We start from the raw sequence: 25,615 nt of genomic DNA, 5'->3' as shown, positions 1-25,615 counted from the left end.
TCGTTGTGTATTTTATCTGGTTCCCAGTAGTAATAGTTGATGAATAATTATACCCCTCTGAGAATATGTTAAAGTTTTCATCCTATTCTCTAGAAAAGCACACATGTGTGCACGTACACACACACACAGAGGCATGCACCAAATTTTGCTTTAAGTTTCAGAGGGTGTATCGTTTCGAGTGCATTGCTTTACTGGCCGCTTACTCTTCTGCCTCCTGCCTGATTATCACCCCTAGCCTCAGGGATTTATGACTGAAAGCTGAGTAAATCCACAGGTGTTAAGAAGATGGAATTCCAAGAAGAATTATTGGCATGGGCTGGGTGTGGGCAGAGAAGACTTAGTGATAATAGCAGTATGATATATTCGGAAGAGTAATATAGACCTAGATTAAATTACCACTCTTGTTCATTATAATCATGTGACTTTCAGCTCATTATTTACACTCTCCAAGCCTATTTATTCATCTAGGAAATTCAACTTCAGAATGGTGTTGCAAGGATTAAATAAGTCGTGTATTTTAATTGCCTCTCGTGGTAACTGGCACATACTAAGGTATATTCATTCCAGGAAGTCATTGTTAATTGAATCCAAGGGCTGTTCAGTCTAAAAGCCTTCATTGCTTTATAAGTCCAATAGTGGGGGAAAGAAGCAGAGCAATCATTGTCAAGTTTACCTTGTTCTCAGGGAATCAGAGTACTCTCCCAGCTTCTGACTTCTTATGGCTACATGATTCATTTAAGAAGCAGCAGAAAGAGGGAGTTAAGGGTTTCTAGCCTGTCTTTATCATTATTCTTTAGCCCATAGCAGGGTCTGGGATGAGTTGATATCTACCCTGCTCAATATACATTTCCTTCCTGGATAGGTACTCTTATAGGAGGCTATCCTAAAATTATATTATTTTCTCTAAATTGTGTGGAGTGGAGAACACAGCTTCAGCCTGGGATTTGGGCTATGTGGGAAAATTTTTTTTTTTTCTGCCAGTATTTTAAGTCCTTTAGCAGAGTTAGGAAGCAGGAAAATATTATTCAAAGTCTAAGAATTCCTTTAATGGATAAAGAGAAATTTACTGTTCTTAAATGCTACCTGTTAAACATTTGTCTTATTCTTCAATATTTAATACTAAAATAGTTTTCAGAGCAGTATTCATTCTGGGCTATCAGATAGACAGAACTTTAAAAATATGTTAAAGCTAGGGTTAAGTAATGAATATAACAGCATGGGAAAAGTGGAGAAGGAATCTGGTATGAGGCCGAATGGGTGGGGATAGAGGAGTCTATTTTAATGCTGATTTCTATGAGATTTCCATAAGCGTGCTGAAAAAGGCTTAAATTAATATTGTGTTCAGTTGGTGATCTAAACACTATAAAGATAATTGTTGTGTAAAAGTTTGACCTGAAGCTTTCATTTGGAATTATCAGGACAGTATCCTAATCTGAGTTTTCAGGCCTCTAGAAGTCCATGGATGTAGTAATGAGGATCAATATGATTTTAACAAAACTCCTAGCATATGGTAATTGAACTATGAAGTCTTTCACATTAAAAGCAGCCTGAAATATAAAATTTCTCTGATATATCATGATACATGTTTTTGAAGGCAATACTTTGGTTCGTTTGCTGTTTGTTTTATAAAGCAGGCATTGAGAAGGAGGATGAGTTTAAAGACTTGGGAGTAAGAAATAAGAGGACTAATGTAGGATGGAGGCGGGTCCCTGCATTGAGACACTTAATAAATATGTTCTCCTTAGTGTCCCTGACATGGGCCACATCCTGTATGAAATTCTGAAACAGTCCAAGTTTGTCTTTGTGTTCCTTCCCCTCACTCATCCTCCTCTTAAGAGTAGTCCTACTTAGGGGAGCACAGGGCTCCATGGTCTACCCACCCTTTGTACCCCTCAGAATGCCTGGGTTCGTGAAATTATGCTTAGCCACCTTAAAATTTCTGTTTGTTTAGTGTGGCTGGTTTCAGCAAAATGTGAGGAGGAAAGTAATTAGATTACACTAATTTACTCTAAGGTAGGAAAGAACACCAGCCCTATTACACTTTTAATGGGTTTATATTTTTAAGAAAAAAATGTTAAACTCTGAATCAATTTCTAATAGAATTTTAGGCAGTGTAACAGACAAGAAATTTCAGGCAATGCTGAAGGGAATGTTTTAGGTTGGGAGGCAAATGTGTAGACAGGTGGGCCCCACTTTTGTTAGTATCTGCTTTTCTAGGTTGCTTCCCTTCTTGTGGTTCTGAAAGCTCCCAGTTGTAAAATGGTAGCTGTCATAGAGTGAAGGCTGTTTGTTAAGTCAGTGCTTAGAGGTGAAGATTGCTTTTATCTTCCTTTTAGTGGATATGCTTATTAGGTGATACTTTAGTATGACTTGGCTTTTTAAGTTGTAGTTTAGTTTTCTTTAATTTGGGTTACTTAGTCTTACCAATAAAAAATCTACCACATTGGGTTGCTTTAAAAAAAATCACTTAAGAATACACCCTTCCTCATTCCAAAAGGGATTTGTGTGGTAGGTAAAAGAATTTATAACTGCTTAAGACTGGTTTTTCTTAACTTTTACTTGCTGCAGTGTATTTTTTTGTCTCAATTATAGGTGCTTCTAAAGTAAAGAAATACCGTAAATTAATTTTAGAGCAGGCAAAAACGACAAGCCTGGAACTGGTTCCAGAAGAGCCATCTGAGCCTGTGCCTCCTCTTATAGTTGATCGTGAGAGATTGAAGGTAAGCTTAGCTATTCCCAGTCAAGTTTTAAATGAATGGACGGAGATTTGAATGTGTTTGTAGGCAGTTGAGTAAAAGTAGTTTTCCTGCTTTAACCCTGAAATATAAATGCCTCAGAGCTCCTAGTAAAAAAGAGTTATGTGTATTTTAAGGAGTTGAAAGATACGGGAGTAGTCCAAGATATTCTAAGGGAATGATTTTAAGCCCTCAAATCTTTTAATTTCATGTTCACTGTTACATCCTCGCTTTATGGTGTTTATTGACTAGCCATTTGAATATACAATTTCAGTTTGACCAGTGAAATCAAATTACATTTTATTCTTTTCTGTTTTTTCTTAGAAATTGCTTGATTTGTTGGTGGATAAAAGCAACAATCTGGCAGTTGATCAGCTTGAGAGATTATATTCTCTTCTTAGTCAGTGTATCTACCGTCATCGTAAAGATTATGACAAATCACAACTTGTAGAGGTAAGTGTTTAGTTTATCTGTAGAATAAACAAATACTTGATTTTACTTGTTCCAAAGAAAAGAGGAAAAAAAGTTATTTTGCCTACATCTATGTCTTTTACCAAGTAGCTGAAGAATGTTTTGAAGATTTAAGACAAAAATCATTAAGAGTTACAGTTTGAAGAATAAAGCCTTTCTGTACCATTTTGTCTCTGGAAAGAAGTAATCTGGGGTTCCTTTTTTTTGTCAAAACACAGAAATCCATGGTTCTAGGGTGGTAAATATACAGAAATAGTATGTCACAATTCTCTCCCTACTTGCTTATAACTGACGTGCCAATTGAGCCTGTCACTTGGGCTTGTCGGATGTGGTCATGGCCCCACACTCCTTATCACTGCTTCCTAGGTAGCCACTGCTGATATAAAGGCGTTGGCATGGGTAGTGAGACCTATTTGCCATTAATGGTTGGAAGATAACTCAAAAGTCATCTTATTTTGGTCAAATCTAGTCCTATAAATTAGCCATATGAAGGAGCGACTGTCCTTTTGCTGAGATACTTTTAGAGATGAGACATTCCCTTTCTAGACAACTCTAAACCAAGGGAAATTCTTCCTGTATAAATATGAGCTTCTATCTTTGTTTATATAATTTCCATCATTAAACCACACTTCTGCCTTTTCAGGTCATCTGAGCAAATGTAATCACTCATCTACCCACAAAATGGCTAAATGACTTAATTCAACTCCCTTTGTTGATTTGCCTGTTAGTTTGTTTATCTGGTGGTCTATCTATTAAATGTTTATTGAGTACCTGCAGTGCCAGATGCTGTGCTGGGTGTTTGGAATGCAAAAAATGAGTAAGACAAAGTCTCTGCTCTCAAAGAATATTTTTAGTATATTAAAGATTTATATGTAAAGGATATAGTTATTTTTCATGTGTAATTTTCTTTTCTTATTTGGCAATATATGATAAAACATTTAGCAGGAGTGATTTTTGTTGGCCACATGGAAGAACTTGTTGATCGGATGATGATCTGTTAATACAGCCTGTTAGTTTTGCAGAGATGTAGAATAGAATTTCTTTGGAGCTGTTTAAAGGGAAGGAAAAAATGCAAGTGTCTTAGATGTATTTGACATTTGCCCACCTGAATAAAATGTGCGGGGTAGAGTTATTCACATTTTTTTTAATTCTAGAACTTCTTTGTTCATATGGTTGCAGTTTTATTAGCTTGAATGCATTAAATACTCCTCACCAGTGAAACATCTCAGTGTGGAATCCTAATAATCTAGAGGCCTAGTTTAGGGAGGGAAGGGATTGATAACAGAATCAGCAGTGAGTGGCTTTCATGGTGGTAGTGATGGAAGCCACTCATTCTGGCTCTTTTTTAACCCTGTCTTTTCAGCTCTGGTTGGAGTGAATAGAAGTGGGAACACAATGCATTCTGCTTTTTGGCATAAGTTTCACTATACTGAATGCATTCATTTTGCTTTGGGAGTTAGTGAAATATAATGAGGAAGGAAGGGCTCAGTCTCTGGAGTGAGGCTGCCTGTATTCAAATCCTGACTGCCACCTGTTAGCTGTCAAATTATTTATCCCCTCTGTGCCTCAGTTTCTTTATCTGTAAAATGGACCTGATAGTAATACGTTTGTTCAATCTTCAATGTTATGGGAGTTAAAACTATATATATAAATTATATATATATGCATACATATAAATATAAATATTTACTTATATTTATGTATTTTATATATAGAAATCTCTTAGTAAATATCTGGCATAATAACTTACTCATTAAGTGTTGCTATCATCATCCTTATATTCATATTACTCATATCATACCTCATACTGATATTACTGGCATAATAAGTTAGTTATTTGTTGAGTGTGACCATCATCATCATCCTTATTGGCCTAAATATAAAATAGGAGGTACTTGGAAGTATCTAGGGGAGATAGTCTTAATTACCTATGGTATTATAATCAGGAAAATATTCAAAGTTTAACCTGTATCTCAAATTCATTCCCTAAAAATTTAAAGTGAATTCTTCCGTAATGAGGAACACTTTTGTCTTTCCCTTAATAGATAACATGCATTTTTTTTCCTTTTATAGGAGATGGAAAGAACAGTTCATATGTTTGAGACATTCCTATGAACTTTTCAAGATGAGTGGTTTATCCTCTCCAATCTGCTCCTCACAGAGCAGTCTTCTGAGCCATTCAATTTCAAATTGCACCAATTATGTGCAGAGCCTTGGTGTAAAGTGCTCTCTCACTCATTCTTTCTCTCTGTTGAATTTGGTGCTATTGTCTCAGGTACCTGAAACCAACCAGCCTACAAGAACCAAACAGAACTTCAGAAACATGTTGTATTTTCCACAAATAAAAAATACAACCCCACAGCTTGGAGATTTTGGTGCTACAGAAACTGCTCTCGCTTCTGCTCCTCTTTTTGTGCACTCTCTTTTGGAGACTCCTCTCTTAGGGAGCAGACCAGCAAACAGGAGGAAACTGGATGGGGGCAGTTCTAACTGTGTTGAATTGTTTAAACAGTGGGCAACTTGTTATTTTTTTTTCCTCCATTTTACCCCTTTAATCATATTTTTCCCCCATCTGGGTAATGGACTGAAACCTGTTTTAGAGTTGGCTATGGTCTGTTCTGGTGGGAAGCTGAAGAAACTGGATGAAATTAGGTCAGGCTCTTTAGAACTGCCTTTAACGTGCCTTTTTATTCATTTGAGGAAGATAAGGCTAAAAGGATGGGCTGTTTGAAGCAAATAAATTAGAAATATTTCTTTGGTCACAACCTTGAAAATAAGTTTTGATACTCTATGTCATTAAGAGACAACCAGTGTTTGGGTATGAAATGCCTGTCTTATTCTCAAAGCTCAATCAAGACACCCAGTAAGCCACATAATATACTAAAATGGTAAGTTTTCTTGTAAGGTCTGTTTTGGTTTAAGAAACATGAATAACAACAAAGAATAATACACAGTCCACACACAAAAAAACAAAAAACAAAACTGCACACGTTTTGGTATTGCCAACAATGATGACTAGAAAATAAATAGATAGTGGCCATTTTTTCTTCTGTCAGTGGCAATTTAATAGTTATTCATGTTTGAGTTCCCAGAGAAAAATGGTTTTCATATGTAGTAAATTGTTGTTTTGTTTTAAAGCCAGGACTTGCCAAATGGACAGAAAAGAGAGGAATTCATCAGAAGCTCCATAAAATTCATTTTCTGTATGCTTAATTGCAAACGAGCTCTGGTATGGTCCTTGAATAACAGTATTAATGTTTAAATCCCATCTCCTAAGCTTACCTTCACAACTCTTCTTTTTGATTGGAAACCATTTTGAATCTTGTTGAGTGATTTCTGTGAATTGTATGTATCTGAAATTAATTATGGGTTACTAGTTTTACAAAAACTTTCTACAAATTTGGAGACACAGTCTAGGCAGTTGCAATGAGGCAAAGGATGCAGTGACTTTTTTTATCAGATGATTTTTAAACAAAAAGAAAATTTTGCCAGCAAGTTGGCTTGGTATCTTCATTCATTGTAGCCGTTAGCTGCAGGTGTGTCTTTCCAATATATGCAACACATGTAGTTTGGGTTTTAATTAGGGCGAATGGTCTTGGACTACTGCAGAGATTCTGAGCTACCTCAGCTTTTTGTATTTTAGTTACCAACAGTGTTTACAGAGTCTTGTAATCACTTTGCCACCGTTTACATCCTGAAGCTAAGGTACTTGTCTCCTTGTCTTTGGCTCTTTGTAGTGTGCAGAAAGCATACTTTGGCCATAGCCTACTGCAGTAATCCAAAGTGCTTCTTTGCATTTACATTTACATCTAACGCCTTCTAATTCTAGCTTAATTTTTTTTTAAATGCCACGTGTTTTCTTTGTACCTAGTCTGTGAAGTTTCTGTAATATCCAGTTAGTCATACAAGTCAAGATGCTACCCATGTAGACACACTGTATTTTTAAGGTGGGCAAGTGCGATTAACGATGAACCATTTTAAAGGGGAGGTTATTTGAAACCTCTAATTTGATTATTGGGAGGATTTTCATGCTTTCTTTAGTATTTATTACCATCATACCGATTCAAACTATTTTATTGTCTAATACATTAGCATTTTGTATTTTGATGGAAATTGTTACAGAATTTAAAGATTTGATGAAATAAGATGTAGCAGATTTTTTGTAGCAAGTTTCTGGTAAAAGGGTTTTTTGCAAGTCTCAGGTTCTTGCTGCACTATTTTTTTTTAAATATTTATTCCAGTTATTCTAATTCAGAAGCATTCTTTTCAAGTAACAGCAGCACTTGTGAAAGGAAAAAAAAATGCACATGTTTCTTAGTAGGTTACTAAATTTGTACAATTAATTAAGATTTTAGCCATCAGTGAGTTTGAAAAGGGAAATGTATTTATTTTCAGCATTAAAATGCTTCCAAAAGATCAAGTTGCTTTTGTTTGTTTGTTTTTTTAACCGTAATGTAGATGGAGAAATTGGAGGCAACCTCAGTATAGGAACTGCCACTTTGAACAGTTTAGGTCTTAAAGAGAAAGTCAATCTAATGCCAAGGGGAGAACAATGAGCTGAAATTGTACCAACTCCTCTGGCCCTCCTTCCCTCAATTAAAAAAACACACTTACCAGTTTTGCTTATTTTACAGATATCTGGTGGTTCTATAGTTTAAAGCAGCTTGTGAAATTAAAAAAGTGGACTCAATTTTGTTTACCTTTCTGTAAGTTTTTCATTTTTGCTGTATAGCATTGGCAAAAATATGTACAAATTGACCTCTGTTCTTATTTCCTATTGTGAGCATTATAAAGATAAGCTCCTATGTAAAACCTTGCTCTCAGATGAGTAAAATATGTATCACAGCATAGCTCAGCAATAATTCATGCTCAGCTGTGGGGACCCTGGGGGCTTTTTGAAGATGATGGAACCGCACTAGGGTTGAAACTGATGGCTGTGGAGTTAATTGTGTTTTCGAGCTTGAATCTCACCTGTGATTTTTTTTTTTTAATGTTGTTTCATGACTTGATTTTTCTCATAAGCCAATGTATTTGTAGGTTTACTGGATTTTATTTTTAGGGAGTGGGTAATTTCTTCCCTTTTTTGATTAAGTTGGTTCAGCTATGGTGCTATTCAGTAGGTATCTTCAGTGTCAGGTCCCGTAGCTGAATGCCATTGTTATTATAATTATTATTTGTAATCACATTGTAAGCTTGAATTTGGGCTTGTACCTGCATCTTTTGTATTCTGTACATCTGGTTACTTAGACTTTGGGAGTCCAATTTGGTTTCAGTCATGTATGTCTACTTTGTAGTTTAAGTAGACTTCATCAACTATGGTCTATTTTGGGTTTGTAGTTTTAATTTAGAATTGTGTTAAATTGATGTTTTGCATTTGACTTCATTTGACATTAGTTGAAGTAAATTATTTAATTTTTGAATTCTGGAATTTGAACATTTACTGTAATTTGTAATATAACTGCTGTGAAATACTTGAATAAAGATGACAAGAAAAACATGTCTTTCTTTAGCTTAATTATGATCACTGTTGGCTACAAATGCAGTGCTACTTTTCTAGCTGATTTAGACTGTTTTAGAGAGAGGCATATTGCTGGTTATTAAGCACCCAAAAAGTCGTGTTATATGTTCCTTTTAGATTTTAAGTACACCTCACGATTTTTTAGCTGAAAGCTTTTTATGTTGAGAAAGCGTGGTTTTAGTTTTAGTTGAAGATTGTCTAAAATATGTTGTATAGAAGCAAATGGATTACTTCTGAGATTTGTTTTTCTAGCTGGAAGACTATACGATAACATATGATCAGGTCATATGGTTCATTAGTTTAAAATGTTTTCCTTTTTATCGGGTTGTTATCAGTATACTTTGTACAGTATAGCACATAATATGGACAGAGATTTCATACCAGAGTTTTGAAGGGCTTACTTCAAGTGAGTAGAATGTTCTTGGCTTCAGAATACCTATTTTTCCTGTGTGCCTTGAGACACCTTTTCATGTTCCTGTAGTACACTGATCTTCCTCAATATAAATTCTTACTTTTGTTTTTTGAATCACAGTAAAAAAGATGGATTTTAGTTAAGACTTTGTTTTGCCTGATTTTTCAGATTCTATAATTTCAACTTTTGTCTGTATCAAAAGATTGTTAATAATAAACCTGCAAAACATATTTTTAACACTGTCTGAATGTTTAGATAAAAAGCTTATAATTTGAGGCTCAATCAAGTTTTTTGGATTCTGGAGATGAAGTTTTATTTATCTAGTTTTAGTTTCCATAAGACTCAAAACTACAGTAAAATCTGAGGCAAATCTTTAAATCTATTTCATGTTATCCCTGTACCCTGACACCTACAAAGTTATCTAGTGACTGTTTAAAAATATATACATTCCCTCTTTTACCCCCACATGTATATGTTTGTTATGTGCCTGACATTATGCCAGGCATGTGGGATACACAAATAACATATTCCTGTTCTCAGGTAGCTTAGAGTCTGCCAGGGGAATTGGTATATATACCAGTAGTAATGATTCAGTGGAATAAGTGCTTTAACAGAAGGGACACAATAACGTTCAGAGTTCTGGGAAGGGAACCAATTAATTATGTTTAGGAATGGGGGAAATAAGGAAAGACTTCAGAGAAAGTTGGCATTATATTTGCTCTTCATCTCTATCTGGCTTTTCTAGAGTCGATCCCCACTTTACCAAAGTTTGTTCTTGTTTTTTTGTGTGTGTGACCTTTCATATTACATCAGATGTATTGTTACAGAATCTAAACCCTGCCCATATTTCAGGGCTGTATAGTATTATATATATAATATACATACTATGTATGTATGTGTAATATATATATATTACACATATGTATATATATGGCGTATGCTGATCTTTCTTCAGAAATTAGCTATGTTTTGTACTGCATTACATAGTAAGTTACTATGTAAATATAATTTATAAAACAGTAATTTATTCATGAGGGAAGGGGAGATAGAAAAGTATTATATTTCTTCTGTATTCCCTATAGGAATTTGAAGCAGTGCAGGATTCAGTAGATGCTTATTTAATTCCTTTAGATTTGCATGACATAGAAGGCACAAATTTACCTTAATCATTTTTTCATTCATTTATAAAATACATAACAAGTGCCTACCATGTATCAGGCACTGTTGCAGGTGCTAGAAATAAAGCAGCAAACTAAACAGAAAAAGTCCGTGTCTTCATGGAGCTTAAATTCTTTCTGATGTTGTGTGCCAGGTTTCTGTCATGGTTGATCAGAGTTCACATTATTTTTTAAAAGTGTGGTGCTCTTAAAAGCTCTTAAAGCACTTTTAAATTTCATTAAGCAGTGAATGAAGCATTTTGTTATTAAAAATTTGCCAGGAACTCTGCTTTTTCCTTCTTGCTTCCCTTATATTCCCTATCTTGGTGAGAAACCTAGCTGTCAACCTGAACTTTATCTTCTTTATGACCCATCTCATTCTAATCATGCAGCACATTCTGTTGATTTATTTTCCCCCTAAGCATGTCTCATACCTATCACCCTTTCTCCATTCCTGTTATCTTAGTTTGGGCACTAATCCTTTTGTTTGGACTAGTGTAATAGCTGTCAGTTCAGTAAACATTTAAGCATTTATTCAGTGCCTACAGAGTGCTAGGCATTGAGGGAGCATAAAGATGAGCAAGACATTGTGTCTGTCTTCAAGGACATTTTTATAATTTAACATACTTATATCACGTTTACTAGGTGCTGGAGACTATTCTGAGTGCTATACAGACACAAATGCAAATTCTTTTCATCTTTACAAGAACCTTATGAGATAGGTGCTATTATTATCCCCATTTTACAGATCAGGAAACTGAGTTATAGATTAATTTGCTCAAGGTCACACATCCAGGATTCAAATGTAGGCAGTTTGGCTCCAGAGTTGATGCTTTTAATCACTATGCTTGACTGCTTCTTGTGGGGGTAGACAGATAACAAACATCATTTCAGTCTAATACGGCATGTGTTAAGATTGAATTTTATATTAGGCACTGTAGGTATACAGAGGAGGAGCATGTAACCTAACCTCAAGGAAGCCTTTCTGGTTCCTTGCCTGAGCTGAGGCATCAAGGTGGGAAAGGATTTCCAGGCAGAAGGAACAACAGAAGCATAGGCTGAGAAGTGAAATAGCATGACAGCTGCAGGGGAAAGTACAGGCAGTTCTCTGTCATCACAGGTCAACATCTGTTTCACAGATTTATTTGAGCAACTGCCAAATAAAGCAAGTGCCAGAGCACTGTTCTTGGCAAGGGAGTTAACAGCTGAAGACAGGACAGCAAGGTCCTTGCTTTTTGGAGCTTACAGTCTAGTCAGCAAAGAGTAAACAAACAACATGTTACCTAACAGTGGTAAATGCTTGGATGACAATAAATACAGCAGTAGTATTAGTAGCAGCAGACAACTGAGTGCCAGGTATTATTACAAGCATTAACCATTTAATTATCACAGCAACTGTGGGAGGTAGGTACTGTTGTTGGTCCCATTTAAGAGAAGGGGAAACTGAAATAGAGAATGCTTAGGTGACTTGCCCAAGGTTACACAGCTAACATCAGGTTGGGGGGTCCTATCTTGTGGTGTGGCTTTAGAGATTGAATTTTTAACCCATCAATCATTAAGGTGAATGGTAAATTCCTTTGCTTGTATTCAAGTCTTCCTTCCTTCCTTCCTTTCCTTCCTTCCCTTCCCTTCCCTTCCCTTCCCTTCCCTTTCCTTCCTTCCTTCCTTCCTTCCTTCCTTCCTTCCTTCCTTCCTTCCTTCCTTCTTTCCTTCCTTCCTTCCATCCCTCTCTGTCTCTTTCTCTCTTTCTCGCTTGCTTTCTTTCTTGCGTGCGTGCTTGCTTGCTTGCTGTGGAGTCTGGTTGTGTTGCCCAGACTGGAGTGCAGTAACACGATCTTGGCTCACTGCCGCCTCTGCCTCTCAGGTTCCAGCGATTCTCCTGCCTCAGCCTCGTGGGTAGCTGGGATTAGAGGCATGTGCCACCACCCCTGGCTAATTTTTGTACTTTTTGTAGGGACGGGGGTTTCACCATGTTGGCCAGGCTGGTCTTGAACTCCTGACCTCAGGTGATCTGCCCGCCTTGGCCTCCCAAAGTGCTGGGATTACAAGCGTGAGCAACCGTGCCTGGCCTCAAGTTTTTCTAGGAATAAACATTTTTAAATAGTAGAATACCACAGAGAATAATACAACATGCATGTTCCTACCACCCAGTATTAAATGTTAACAATTTGTCATACTTGTTTTAGTTCTTTTTTGAAAAGAAAAAATTTCAGAGAAGATTTAAGTCTACTTTCTACCCATTCCCAATCCCATTCGTTTTCTTTCTTTACTGGTGGCAGCCACTGTGATGATTTTGACGAATATCCTGTCTGTGTTTTAAATTATTTTATTTGAGAAGGTAATAGTATGCGGCTGGAGTCAGACTGTCTGAATTTGAATCCTGGTTATGTTCCTTCTTGGCTATGCAACATGTGACAAATTATTTCACCCCTCTGCAGGTCAGTGTACTTATCCATAAGATGGGCCACAGTGATAGCACCAACCCCATGGTGGTTACTGCAATGATTACATATTTGAGTGAATATATGTAAAGCACTTAGAACAGTACCAGGCACATAGTAAGTGTTCAAGAAATTTCAGTCATCTTTCTAAACATTTGTATGTGTCTATAAACATTGTTTTGTGGGTTTAAAAATGTCTATAAATGGGATTAATATCTTTAAAATTTATATATTTTAAAGTCAGAAACACATGTATGTAGTTTAAAGAATGAAGTAGTTCTAGAAGGCTTGTTATAAAAAACAGCAGTTCCCTGATTCTAGAACCCTCCTTCTCCAAAAAAAAAAAAAAATTCTCCCAGGAGCCAATTGTTTTCAACACCTGTAGCTGATTATTTGATGTTTCTAAATACTATTCTTAGATGGCTACTTTTTATTTTCCAGTTTTAGTCATTTTCTTTTGATTTCCCACCATTTAAAATATAGTAATATCTGCCCTCACCACACGTTTCACACTTCTTGTCCTCTCGTCCTCCCAGTTGTTTATAATTTTGGTCAGATCATTATTCAGTATTTGCATTATTGTGTCTATGTAAAAATTATTGACAGTGGAACTATTTAGTGTACTATGATGATGTTTCCTTTCTTGTACACCTTTTTGTTAATAATAGTCTTCATTGTATTTATTTACCTGTTTTTTTATGTATAATCATGAGTTTGAACCCAGCACGCCTTTATTCCCAGCATTTTGGGAGGCTGAGGCAGAAGGATCCTTGAGCCCAGGAGTTCAAGACCAGCCTGGGTAACATAATGAGACCCTGTCTCTACAGAAAAATTAAAAAATTAGCCAGGCTTGGTGGCATGCATCATAGTCTCAGCCACTCAGGAGGCTGAGATGGGAGGACCACTTGAGCTTGGGAGTTTGAGGCTTCAGTGACCCAAGATCGCAGCACCTGCACTCCAGCCTGAGTGACAGAGTGACACCCTGTCTCAAAAAAACAATTTTAAAAACTAGTTTGTTCCTCAGTTCATCCCCAGCAATCCAACTCTCTCTCTCTTTTTTTTTTTTTTTTGAGTCGGATTTTCGCTCTGTTGCCCAGGCTGGAGTGCAGTGGTGTAATGTCGGCTCACTGTAACCTCCACCTCCCGGGTTCGAGCGATTCTCCTGCCTCAGTCTCCCAAGCAGCTGGGATTACAGGCATGCGCCACCATGCATTATTTATTTTTATTTCGCAGAGATGGGGTTTCACCGTGTTGGTCAGGCTGGTCTCGAACTCCTGACCTCAAATGATCCACCTGCCTCGGCCTCCCAAAGTGCTGGGATTACAGGCATGAGCTACTGCGCCTGGCCCCAACTCTTGTTAGTATCACCAAACATGTAAGGTATTATAGCATTTCATTTTCTTGAGAAAATTTCTCCTGGAACATTCTAACCCTTTCCAATTTTGCATTGGTGTACACCAAGGTCTTGCATAGTCATTTTTTTTTTTTTTTGGGCGAACATCCTTCACCTTTCTCTTGCACTGAATCTTATATCTGGACTTTTCTCATTTATATCCTGTATTGCTGCTGAGAAGTCGGTGCTTTTCTGCTTATTGTTTTGTTTTCCTGATTTTGTTTCCTTCTCCTAAGGCTTTCGTAATTTTCAGTTTTCCTCTGATGCTCTGGAATTTCACAGACCTGTCTGGGTGTGTGTCTAAATGTTACACTTTTCTTAGGCCTCTCTACTCTGGAAAATCATGTCCTTTTAGTCTGAGAAATTTTCTTGAGTGAATTTTTCACTTTTAGAACTACTGTTATTCAGATCTTGGCCTTTCTACAGTTCTGTTATTCCTTCTTAATTTTTACTTTGGTATTTAGTTTTTAAGAGCCATTTGGAGTTCTCTTGATTTTTTTTTTATTGTTCCACTTTTTAAAATTTGTATTTTATTATTATACTTCAAGTTTTAGGGTACATGTGCACAACATGCAGGTTTCTTACATATGTATACATGTGCCATGTTGGTGTGCTGCACCCATTAACTCGTCATTTATCATTAGGTATATCTCCTAATGCTATCCCTCCCCCCTCCCCCCACCCCACAACTGTCCCTGGTGTGTGATGTTCCCCTTCCTGTGTCCATGTGTTATCATTGTTCAATTCCCACCTATGAGTGAGAACATGTGGTGTTTGGTTTTTTGTCCTTGCGATGGTTTGCTGAGAATGATAGTTTCCAGTTTCATCCATGTCCCTACAAAGGACATGAACTCATCATTTTTTATGGCTGCATAGTATTCCATGGTGTATATGTGCCACATTTTCTTAATCCAGTCTATCGTTGTTGGACATTTAGGTTGGTTCCAAGTCTTTGCTATTGTGAATAGTGCCGCTGTAAACATACATGTGCATGTGTCTTTATAGCAGCATGATTTATAATCCTTTGGGTATATACCCAGTAATGGGATGACTGGGTCAAATGGTATTGCTAGTTCTAGGTCCCTGAGGAATCGCCACACTGACTTCCACAATGGTTGAACTAGTTTACAGTCCCACCAACAGTGTAAAAGTGTTCCTATTTCTCCACATCCTCTCCAGCACCTGTTGTTTCCTGACTTTTTAATGATTGCCATTCCAACTGGTGTGAGATGGTATCTCATTGTGGTTTTGATTTGCATTTCTCTGATGGCCAGTGATGATGAGCATTTTTTCATGTGTTTTTTGGCTGCATAAATGTCTTCTTTTGAGAAGTGTCTGTTCATGTTCTTCGCCCACTTTTTGATGAGGTTGTTTGTTTTTTTCTTGTAAATTTGTTTGAGTTCATTGTAGATTCTGAATATTAGCCCTTTGTCAGATGAGTAGGTTGCAAAAATTTTCTCCCATTCTGTAGGTTGCCTGTTCACTCTGATGGTCGTTTCTTTTGCTGTGCAGAAGCTCTTTAGTTTAATTAGATCCCATTTGTCAATTTTGGCTTTTGTTGCCATTGCTTTTGGTGTTTTAGACATGACGTCCTTGCCCATGCCTATGTCCTGAATGGTATTGCCTAGGTTTTCTTCTAGGGTTTTTATGGTTTTAGGGCTAACGTTTAAGTCTTTAATCCATCTTGAATTAATTTTTGTATAAGGTGTAAGGAAGGGATCCAGTTTCAGCTTTCTACATATGGCTAGCCAGTTTTCCCAGCACCATTTATTAAATAGGGAATCCTTTCCCCATTTCTTGTTTTTGTCAGGTTTGTCAAAGATCAGATAGTTGTAGATATGTGGCATTATTTCTGAGGGCTGTGTTCTGTTCCATTGATCTATATCTCTGTTTTGGTACCAGTACCATGCTGTTTTGGTTCCTGTAGCCTTGTAGTATAGTTTGAAGTCAGGTAGCATGATGCCTCCAGCTTTGTTCTTTTGGTTTAGGATTGACTTGGCGATGCAGGCTCTTTTTTGGTTCCATATGAACTTTAAAGTAGTTTTTTCCAATTCTGTGAAGAAAGTCATTGGTAGCTTGATTGGGATGGCATTGAATCTATAAATTACCTTGGGCAGTATGGCCATTTTCACGATATTGATTCTTCCTACCCATGAGCATGGAATGTTCTTCCACTTGTTTGTATCCTCTTTTATTTCATTGAGCAGTGGTTTGTAGTTCTTCTTGAAGAGGTCCTTCACATCCCTTGTAAGTTGGATTCCTAGGTATTTTATTCTCTTTGAAGCAATTGTGAATGGGAGTTCACTCATGATTTGGCCTCTGTTTGTCTGTTATTGGTGTATAAGAGTGCTTGTGATTTTTGTACATTGATTTTTGTATCCTGAGACTTTGCTGAAGTTGCTTATCAGCTTGAGGAGATTTGGGGCTGAGACGATGGGGTTTTCTAGATATACAATCATGTCATCTGCAAGCAGGGACAATTTGACTTCCTCTTTTCCTAATCGAATGCCCTTTATTTCCTTCTCCTGCCTGACTGCCCTGGCCAGAACTTCCAACACTATGTTGAATAGGAGTGGTGAGAGAGGGCATCCCTGTCTTGTGCCAGTTTTCAAAGAGAATGCTTCCAGTTTTTGCCCATTCAGTATGATATCGGCTGTGGGTTTGTCATAGATAGCTCTTATTATTTTGAGATACGTCCCATCAATACCTAATTTATTGAGAGTTTTTAGCATGAAGGGTTGTTGAATTTTGTCAAAGGCCTTTTCTGCATCTATTGAGATAATCATGTGGTTTTTGTCTTTGGTTCTGTTTATATGCTGGATTACATTTATTGATTTGCGTATGTTGAACCAGCCTTGCATCCCAGGGATGAAGCCCACTTGATCATGGTGGATAAGCTTTTTGATGTGCTGCTGGATTCGGTTTGCCAGTATTTTATTGAGGATTTTTACATCGATGTTCATCAGGGATATTGGTCTGAAATTCTCTTTTTTGGTTGTGTCTCTGTCAGGCTTTGGTATCAGGATGATGCTGGCCTCATAAAATGAGTTAGGGAGGATTCCCTCTTTTTCTATTGATTGGAATAGTTTCAGAAGGATTGGTACCAGCTCCTCTTTGTACCTCTGGTAGAATTCGGCTGTGAATCCATCTGGTCCTGGAGTTTTTTTGGTTGGTAAGCTATTGATTATTTCCTCAATTTCAGAGCCTGTTATTGGTCTATTCAGAGGTTCAACTTCTTCCTGGTTTAGTCTTGGGAGGATGTATGTGTCGAGGAATTTATCCATTTCTTCTAGATTTTCTAGTTTATTTGCGTAGAGGTGTTTATAATATTCTCTGATGGTAGTTTGTATTTCTGTGGGATTGGTGGTGATATCCCCTTTATCATTTTTTATTGCATCTATTTGATTCTTCTCTCTTTTCTTCTTTATTAGTCTTGCTAGTGGTCTATCAATTTTGTTGATCTTTTCAAAAAACCAGCTCCTGGATTCATTAATGTTTTGAAGGGCTTTTTGTGTCTCTGTTTCCTTCAGTTATGCTCTGATCTTAGTTATTTCTTGCCTTCTGCTAGCTTTTGAATGTGTTTGCTCTCGCTTTTCTAGTTCTTTTAATTGTGATGTTAGGGTGTCAATTTTAGATCTTTCCTGCTTTCTCTTGTGGGCATTTAGTGCTATAAATTTCCCTCTACACACTGCTTTGAATGTGTCCCAGAGATTCTGGTATGTTGTGTCTTTGTTCTCGTTGGTTTCAAAGAACATCTTTATTTCTGCCTTCACTTCATTATTTACCCAGTAGTCATTCAGGAGCAGGTTGTTCAGTTTCCATGTAGTTGAGTGGTTTTGAGTGAGTTTCTTAATCCTGAGTTCTAGTTTGATTGCACTGTGGTCTGAGAGACAGTTTGTTATAATTTCTGTTCTTTTACATTTGCTGAGGAGTGCTTTACTTCCAACTATGTGGTCAATTTTGGAGTAGGTGTAGTGTGGTGCTGAAAAGAATGTATATTCTGTTGATTTGGGGTGGAGAGTTCTGTAGATGTCTATTAGGTCCACTTGGTGCAGAGCTGAGTTCAATTCCTGGGTATCCTTGTTAACTTCCTGTCTCGTTGATCTGTCTAATGTTGACAGTGGGGTGTTAAAGTCTCCCATTATTATTGGGTGGGAGTGTAAGTCTCTTTGTAGGTCATTAAGGACTTGCTTTATGAATCTGGGTGCTCCTGTATTGGGTGCATATATATTTAGGATAGTTAGTTCTTCTTGTTGAATTGATCCCTTTATCATTATGTAATGGCCTTCTTTGTCTCTTTTGATCTTTGTTGGTTTAAAGTCTGTTTTATCAGAGACTAGGATTGCAACCCCTGCCTTTTTTTGTTTTCCATTTGCTTGGTAGATCTTCCTCCATCCCTTTATTTTGAGCCTATGTGTGTCTCTGCACGTGAGATGGGTTTCCTGAATATAGCACAATGATGGGTCTTGACTCTTTATCCAATTTGCCAGTCTGTGTCTTTTAATTGGAGCATTTAGCCCATTTACATTTAAAGTTAATATTGTTATGTGTGAATTTGATCCTGTCATTATGATGTTAGCTGATTATTTTGCCCGTTAGTTGATGCAGTTTCTTCCTAGCCTTGATGCTCTTTACAATTTGGCATGTTTTTGCAGTGGCTGGTACCAGTTGTTCCTTTCCATGTTTAGTGCTTCCTTCAGGAGCTCTTTTAGGGCAGGGCTGGTGGTGACAAAATCTCTCAGCATTTGCTTGTCTGTAAAGTGTTTTATTTCTCCTTCACTTATGAAGCTTAGTTTGGCTGGATATGAAATTCTGGGTTGAAAATTCTTTTCTTTAAGAATGTTGAATATTGGTCCCCACTCTCTTCTGGCTGGTAGAGTTTCTGCAGAGAGATCAGCTGTTAGTCTGATGGGCTTCCCTTTGTGGGTAACCTGACCTTTCTCTCTGGCTGCCCTGAACATTTGTTTCTTCATTTCAACTTTGGTGAATCTGACAATTATGTGTCTTGGAGTTGCTCTTCTCAAGGACTATCTTTGTGGCATTCTCTGTATTTCCTGAATCTGAATGTTGGCCTGCCTTGCTAGATTGGGGAACTTCTCTTGGATAATATCCTACAGAGTGTTTTCCAACTTGGTTCCATTCTCCCCGTCACTTTCAGGTACACCAATCAGATGTAGATTTGGTCTTTTCACATAGTCCCATATTTCTTGGAGGCTTTGTTCGTTTCTTTTTATTCTTTTTTCTCTAAACTTCTCTTCTCGCTTCATTTCATTCATTTCGTCTTCCATCACTGATACCCTTTCTTCCAGTTTATCGCATCGGCTACTGAGGCTTCTGCATTCGTCACGTAGCTCTCGTGCCTTGGTTTTCAGCTCCATCAGGTCCTTTAAGGACTTCTCTGCATTGGTTATTCTAGTTATCCATTCATCTAATTTTTTTTCAAAGCCTTTTAACTTCTTTGCCATTGGTTTGAATTTCCTCCTGTAGCTCGGAGTAGTTTGATCGTCTGAAACCTTCTTCTCTCAACTTGTCAAAGTCATTCTGCGTCCAGCTTTGTTCCGTTGCTAGTGAGGAGCTGCGTTCCTTTGGAGGAGGAGAGGTGCTCTGATTTTTAGAGTTTCCAGTTTTCCTGCTCTGTTTTTTCCCCCATCTTTGTGGTTTTATCTACTTTTGGTCTTTGAAGGTGGTGACGTACAGATGGGTTTTTGGTGTGGATGTCCTTTCTGTTTGTTAGTTTTCCTTCTAACAGAGAGGACCCTCAGCTGCAGGTCTGTTGGAGTTTGCTAGAGGTCCACTCCAGACTCTGTTTGCCTTGGTGTCAGCAGCGGTGGCTGCAGAAGAGTGGATATTGGTGAACCGCAAATGCTGCTGCCTGATCGTTCCTCTGGAAGTTTTGTCTCAGAGGAGTATCAAGCCGTGTGAGGTGTCAGTCCGCTCCTACTGGGAGTGCCTCCCAGTTAGGGTACTCGGGGGTCAGGGACCCACTTGAGGAGGCAGTCTGCCCGTTCTCAGATCTCAAGCTGTGTGCTTGGAGAACCACTACTCTCTTCAAAGGTGTCAAAGAGGGACATTTAAGTCTGCAGAGGTTACTGCTGTCTTTTTGTTTGTCTGTGCCCTGCCCCCAGAGGTGGAGCCTACAGAGGCAGGCAGGCCTCCTTTAGCTGTGGTGGGCTCCATCCAGTTCGAGCTTCCAGGCTGCTTTGTTTACCTAATCAAACAACTAACTCAGCAATGCAGGCGCCCCTCCCCCAGCCTCGCTGCTGCCTTGCAGTGTGATCTGGGACCGCTGTGCTAGCAATGAGGGAGACTCCTTGGGCATAGGACCCTCCGAGCCAGGTGCGGGATATAATCTCCTGGTGTGACCTTTTTTAAGCCCGTTGGAAAAGCGCAGTATTAGGGTGGGAGTGATCCGATTTTCCAGGTGCTGTCTGTCACCCCTTTCTTTGACTAGGAAAGGGAATTCCCTGACCCCTTGCACTTCCTGGGTGAGGTGGTGTCTCACCCTGCTTCGGCTCGCGCACGGTAGGCTGCACCCACTGTCTTGCACCTACTGTCTGGCACTCCCCAGTGAGATGAACCTGGTACCTCAGTTGGAAATGCAGAAACCACCCATCTTCTGCATTGCTCACGCTGGGAGCTGTAGACCGGAGCTGTTCTTATTTGGCCATCTTCTCTTGATTTTTTAAGTAGCATTTTGTTTTTGTTTCATGGGTACAAGATCAGCTCATCTCTGTGAGGGTATTCATGATGATTTTTTCTTTGTTTTTCTTTTCCTTGCATAGTCTCTTTTTCCTCCAAGTTGCTTTTCCTGTTTGTTTTGGTTCCTGTTTAGTATTACAAGTTTTCCTCAAATATTTGGTAATTCCTTGCTATCTGCTCCTATTTAAGAGTGGGGGACTAAAAACCTGCTTTCCAGAAGGCAAAAATCTCCAGTTAGGAGAGAGCAGAGTCTTCCCTGGGAAATAAAACCAACCCAAGGGAAGAATGCTGAAAATAGTAACAATGGGGGGGGTTCCTTTATGGAACTGTTCAGCTAGATCAGCTGACAGAGTTGTATAGATGAGAAATAATTAATGCAAAGTTACATAAATATTGGCTACTTTAATAGTATTCTCTATTTTCAGAACTGACCCTGAAACTTTCTAGTTTGCTTGATTATCACAATAGAAGCCTCTCAGTGGGAATGCTTAGTGTTGTGTTATTTTTACAAATGATTTTGAGATTTTTGAATACTTAGATGTAATCCTTTTGTTCTCTCCTACCTTTGCCCTCCTACCCTTATTTTCCTTCCATTAGGCCAGTATATTAGATAGAAGAATTCAGAGGGAATTAAAGAGTTCTTTGCAAGATTTTGCACAGATGGTCCCCTCCTCCTTTACAGGAGCAAGAGTTACCTTCAGAGTGCTTGGAGGTGATGGAGTTGGGCTTTCTTTCACCTTTCCTTGACTTAATGCCAACTGTTTTCCTGACAGCACCTCTTGTTCCAGAAACAAATGATTGGTCTGTATAGGACCACTTGCGTCATAAGACATCCTGATTTTCGTACTGAAGTTTCTCCTTCTTACTGGAATTCTGGTTGTTTAGAATCTTTTCAAGTTAGTATTTTGATTAACAGATGAAGCACAGCTTCAGGGAAAGAAATTCTGTGCCAGCTAGTCCTTTTCTTCTCCTCCCTGATGAGCTTCAAGCCATGGAAGGTAAAAGAAGGCGAGAGTGGAGGAAAAAGGTGGGTAAAATGGAAAATAAAAGTTTAATGTTTTTCTTGCATTTGTGATATCTTTTATAAGTTGAACAAAAAGTTATCTAGGCCTTTTTCCTACCACTCATCTACTGATGATATGGAAGTTATTAGTGACCGTTCCATTCAGGTGTGCATCACAACAATGCTTTTAATATCATATAGCATCATAGATTAATTGCTAGTAAGTTGCTAAGTAAGTATTGAGTTTAAAGGGCCAACATTTTTATGAGTTGTAATGGTTTGAAGAGTTAGAGGTCAAAAAGTCAGTTTGGAAAACTGAGTAGACCAGTTTAATTAAAATCAAGGGTAAATACAAGGGAGTATGGTGGAAGATAATGCTGTATAGGTAGTTTGGGGTCTTATTATGGAGGACAAGTGTAAAGATATTTGTACTTTATCATGTGACAATGTTTTTGAACAGTACCATGACATGAAAATAGAATTTTAGAAATATTAATTTGGCAGTAATATGTGAAATGGAAAGTAATGACTTCCTTTCAACAAGATATAGTAACTACCTACCATTTGCCAAGTATGATAGACACTGAAGTTACAAAGCTAAGTAAAACACAGTGTCTGCCCTTGGAAATAACTGTTCAGTAAAAGACATATTAAGAAAAATTAAGAATAAATTTGGTTAAATACAATGATAATGGTTTAGTTGAGGTGCTGTGGGAGATAGAGGAGAGGAACTGATAGGGTTTGGGTCTGTGTCCCCACCCACATCTCATGTTGAATTGTAATCCCCAGCATTGGAGGAGGGACCTGGTGGGAGGTGATTGGAACATGGAGGCAGACTTCCCCCTTGCTGTTCTCATGATAGTGAATGAATTCCCACAAGATCTGGTTGTTTAAAAGCATGTAGCACCTCCCACTTATCTCTCTCTTCCTCCTTCTCTGCCCATGTAAGACGTGCCTACTTCCCCTGCATCTTTGCCATGTTTGTAAGTTTCCTGAGGCCTCCGCAGCCATGCTTCCTGTACAGCCTGCAGAACTGTGAGTCAGTCAAACCTCTTTTCTTTTTAAATTACCCAGTATTGACTGGGTACGATGGCTCACACATGTAATCCCAGCACTTTGGGAGGCCAAAGTGGGCAGATCACTTGAGGTCAGGAGTTCGAGACCAGCCTGGGCAACATGGTAAAACCCCATCTCTACTAAAAAATGCAAAAAAATTAGCCAGGCGTGGTGACACGTGCCTGTAGTCCCAGCTACTCGGGAGACTGAGGGAGGAGAATCACTTGAACCTGGGAGGTGGAGGTTGCAGTGAGCTGAGATTGCGCCACTGCAATCCAGCCTGGGTGACGAGCGAGACTCTGTCTCAAAAATAAATAAATAAATAAGTTACCCAGTATCGGGTAATTCTCTTATAGCAATGTGAAAACAGACTAATACAGGAACTTGACCCAACCTAGTAATGCATGGAAGGCTTTTTTCCCCCCTGAGGATAAGTTATCTTAACGGCATCTCAAAAAATGAAAGAATGCAATAAAAATCAGGGAAGAACACCCCAGGCAGGGGAAACAGTAGAAAGGCATAGAAACAGGCAAACAAGTTTAGGCAACTATGGGTGTTTCTGTGTACTTTAGAATAAAGCAAAGTAAGGAAGAAAGTAGCATTAGAGGTCAGTAAAGACTTTAGATATTGTTCCTATATTCCAGGTGAGAGATGCTATAGGCCGGGACTGGGGAAGGTATAGTAGGGATGGTGAGAAAGAGATCATTTCTAGGAAATTTAGAGGTAGAATCAGTAGGATTCAGTGATTGGATGTTGGGGATGAGGGTAAAGAAGGGGCCTGGAATTGCTCTTAGGTTTCTGCCTGGGTGATTGGATGTTAACTGAGAATGAATTTGAGAGGGAGGACCCAATCTGTAGTGAACACAGTATTGGACATTTTGGCATCCAGGTGCAGCACACATTTAGATAAATATATCTAAAGCTTGAAGAGGGTTCAGAACTGGAGGCTTTTAAGGTTAGCTACCTATAAATGATTGTTCAAACCATGAGCACGAATCAGATCACTTAGGCAGCTTTTGAAGTGAAATGAAAATGGCAAATAGAGAAACAGCAAAGTTTAAGCAGCAGGTAGAGGGTGTCTAGCAATTGAGACTAATCATACCTTCTCAAAAGTGGGACAGCCAAAACAGTGGGGTCACGGAACTTGAGGAGACGATTTTATGTTCAAAATGGACAACAGTATCAAATGCTCCAGTGCAGGTCAGTAAGATAGGTACTAAAATGCTGCTAGGAGATGTGGCAATTGGGTGATCTTTGTTGCTTTGAGGAAAAAGGGAAGGAGAGAGAACATAACTAGACAGGGACACAGGGTTTAGGAAAGGATTTTGATAAAAGTGAAAAAACTGAGCATGTTCATACATTGAGAGAATGGAGATGGTAGGGGTGGTGAGAATAATGATAGCGACTAACACTTAGTGAAAATGTCCAGGCCTTCTTTAAAGGGCTTTGCATCTGTTAACTCCTTTAATTTTGATATCGGCCCTATGAATTAGATACTATTATCACCCTTCTGCTAATGAGGAGAGCTAGTCACAGAGAGATTTTTACTTGCTGAAGATGAGACAGCTAGTTAAATAGCATAACCAGGATTTGAACCCTGGGATTCTGACAAAAGAGCCTAGTTATTTACCACTGTCCTATATTGCCTTGATAGAAAGATGGAGATTGAAGATGGGAAAGAGGAGTGATATTAATGGGTCAAGATTCCAAAAGAGACTAGAAGGAGTGTTGGTCTTGAATAAGAGTATTTTATTCCAGCAGATCAGAAACTGGGGGTATAGATAGAGATGGTAAGTTTGGGGGTACAGTGGGCTGTTGTGAAGTTTAGGAAATTAATATCTAATAACATCAATTTTTTCCATCAAATATTTATTTATGAATTAACACCTTTTTATTATAAAATATAACGCATACATGGAAAACTGCTTGAAACAAATGTATAGGTTAATCATGAATTTATAAGATGTAACCACTACTCAGGTACAGAAAATAACATTGTTAGACAATCCAAAAGTGCTGCCTGTGCTCTACTCCAATTGAAATCTTTTTTCCTCTAAATGTAACCACCATCCTAACATTTATGGTAATGACTTTTTTGCTTTTCGTATAGTTTTATCACCTGTGTGCATTTCTAAACACCACATTTCAGTTTTTTTTCTCCTTTGTCATTTAAATCTCTTAATCTACAAATTCCCCCTCAGTCTCTCCTTTTTCTTTGCCATTAATTTGTTGAAGAAACCAGGTTTTGATCTATTGAATTTCCCACAGTCTGGATTTTGCCAATTGAATCCCTATGGTGAGGCTATGTTCATTTATCTTTTGTATTTCTCATAAATTGGTACTTGGATCTAGAGCTGTGCTGTTCAATATGGTAGCTATTGAGCACTCAAAATGTGGCTAGTACAAATTGAGATGTGCTGTGTCAAAATGCACAGTAATTTTGAAGATTCTTTACAAAAAATAATATGAAATATCTCATTAAGAGTTTTTTTTTTTTTGCCCCCTAGGAGACAGTCTTGCTTTGTCACCCAGACTGGAGTGTAGTTATACAGTCGTATCTCACTGTAACCTCAAACTTCTGGGCTCAAATGATTTTCCTGCCTTAGCCTCCTGAGTAGCTAGGACTAAAGGCACATGTCACCAATGCCCAGCTAATTTTTTTATTTTTCACAGAGGTGGGGTCTTACTGTATTGCCCAAGCTGGTCTTGAACTTCTGGCCTCAATCCCAA

The 25,615-nt window shown here is 38.2% G+C and overlaps 1 protein-coding gene across 11 annotated transcripts in view; it reads left to right on the top strand.

Annotated features, from left to right (window-relative positions):
- ATAD2B (ATPase family AAA domain containing 2B) overlaps positions 1 to 25,615 on the top strand; it is a 249,155-nt gene that overhangs the window by 169,757 nt on the left and 53,783 nt on the right. For 5 of the 11 annotated variants that reach the window (NR_125717.2, NM_001242338.3, NM_017552.4 and 2 more), the window contains 3 exons: positions 2,593 to 2,720; positions 3,060 to 3,188; positions 5,280 to 8,703. Coding sequence is in view for 9 of the 11 variants with exons in the window: in NM_001242338.3 (NP_001229267.2) it covers positions 2,593 to 2,720; positions 3,060 to 3,188; positions 5,280 to 5,321 (299 nt within the window). In the remaining 2 variants the exon portion in view is untranslated. Of the gene's footprint in view, positions 1 to 2,592; positions 2,721 to 3,059; positions 3,189 to 5,279; positions 8,704 to 21,742; positions 22,644 to 22,778; positions 22,865 to 25,615 lie in introns of those variants that run through there. The other 6 variants (XM_011532920.4, XM_011532919.4, XM_011532918.4 and 3 more) reach the window with 3 other exon arrangements.

Source organism: Homo sapiens, chromosome 2, assembly GCF_000001405.40.
Source record: "Homo sapiens chromosome 2, GRCh38.p14 Primary Assembly".
Lineage (NCBI taxonomy): Eukaryota > Metazoa > Chordata > Mammalia > Primates > Hominidae > Homo > Homo sapiens.
Note: the sequence above shows the minus strand (reverse complement) of the source record. Positions and strands in the feature narration are given on the sequence as shown.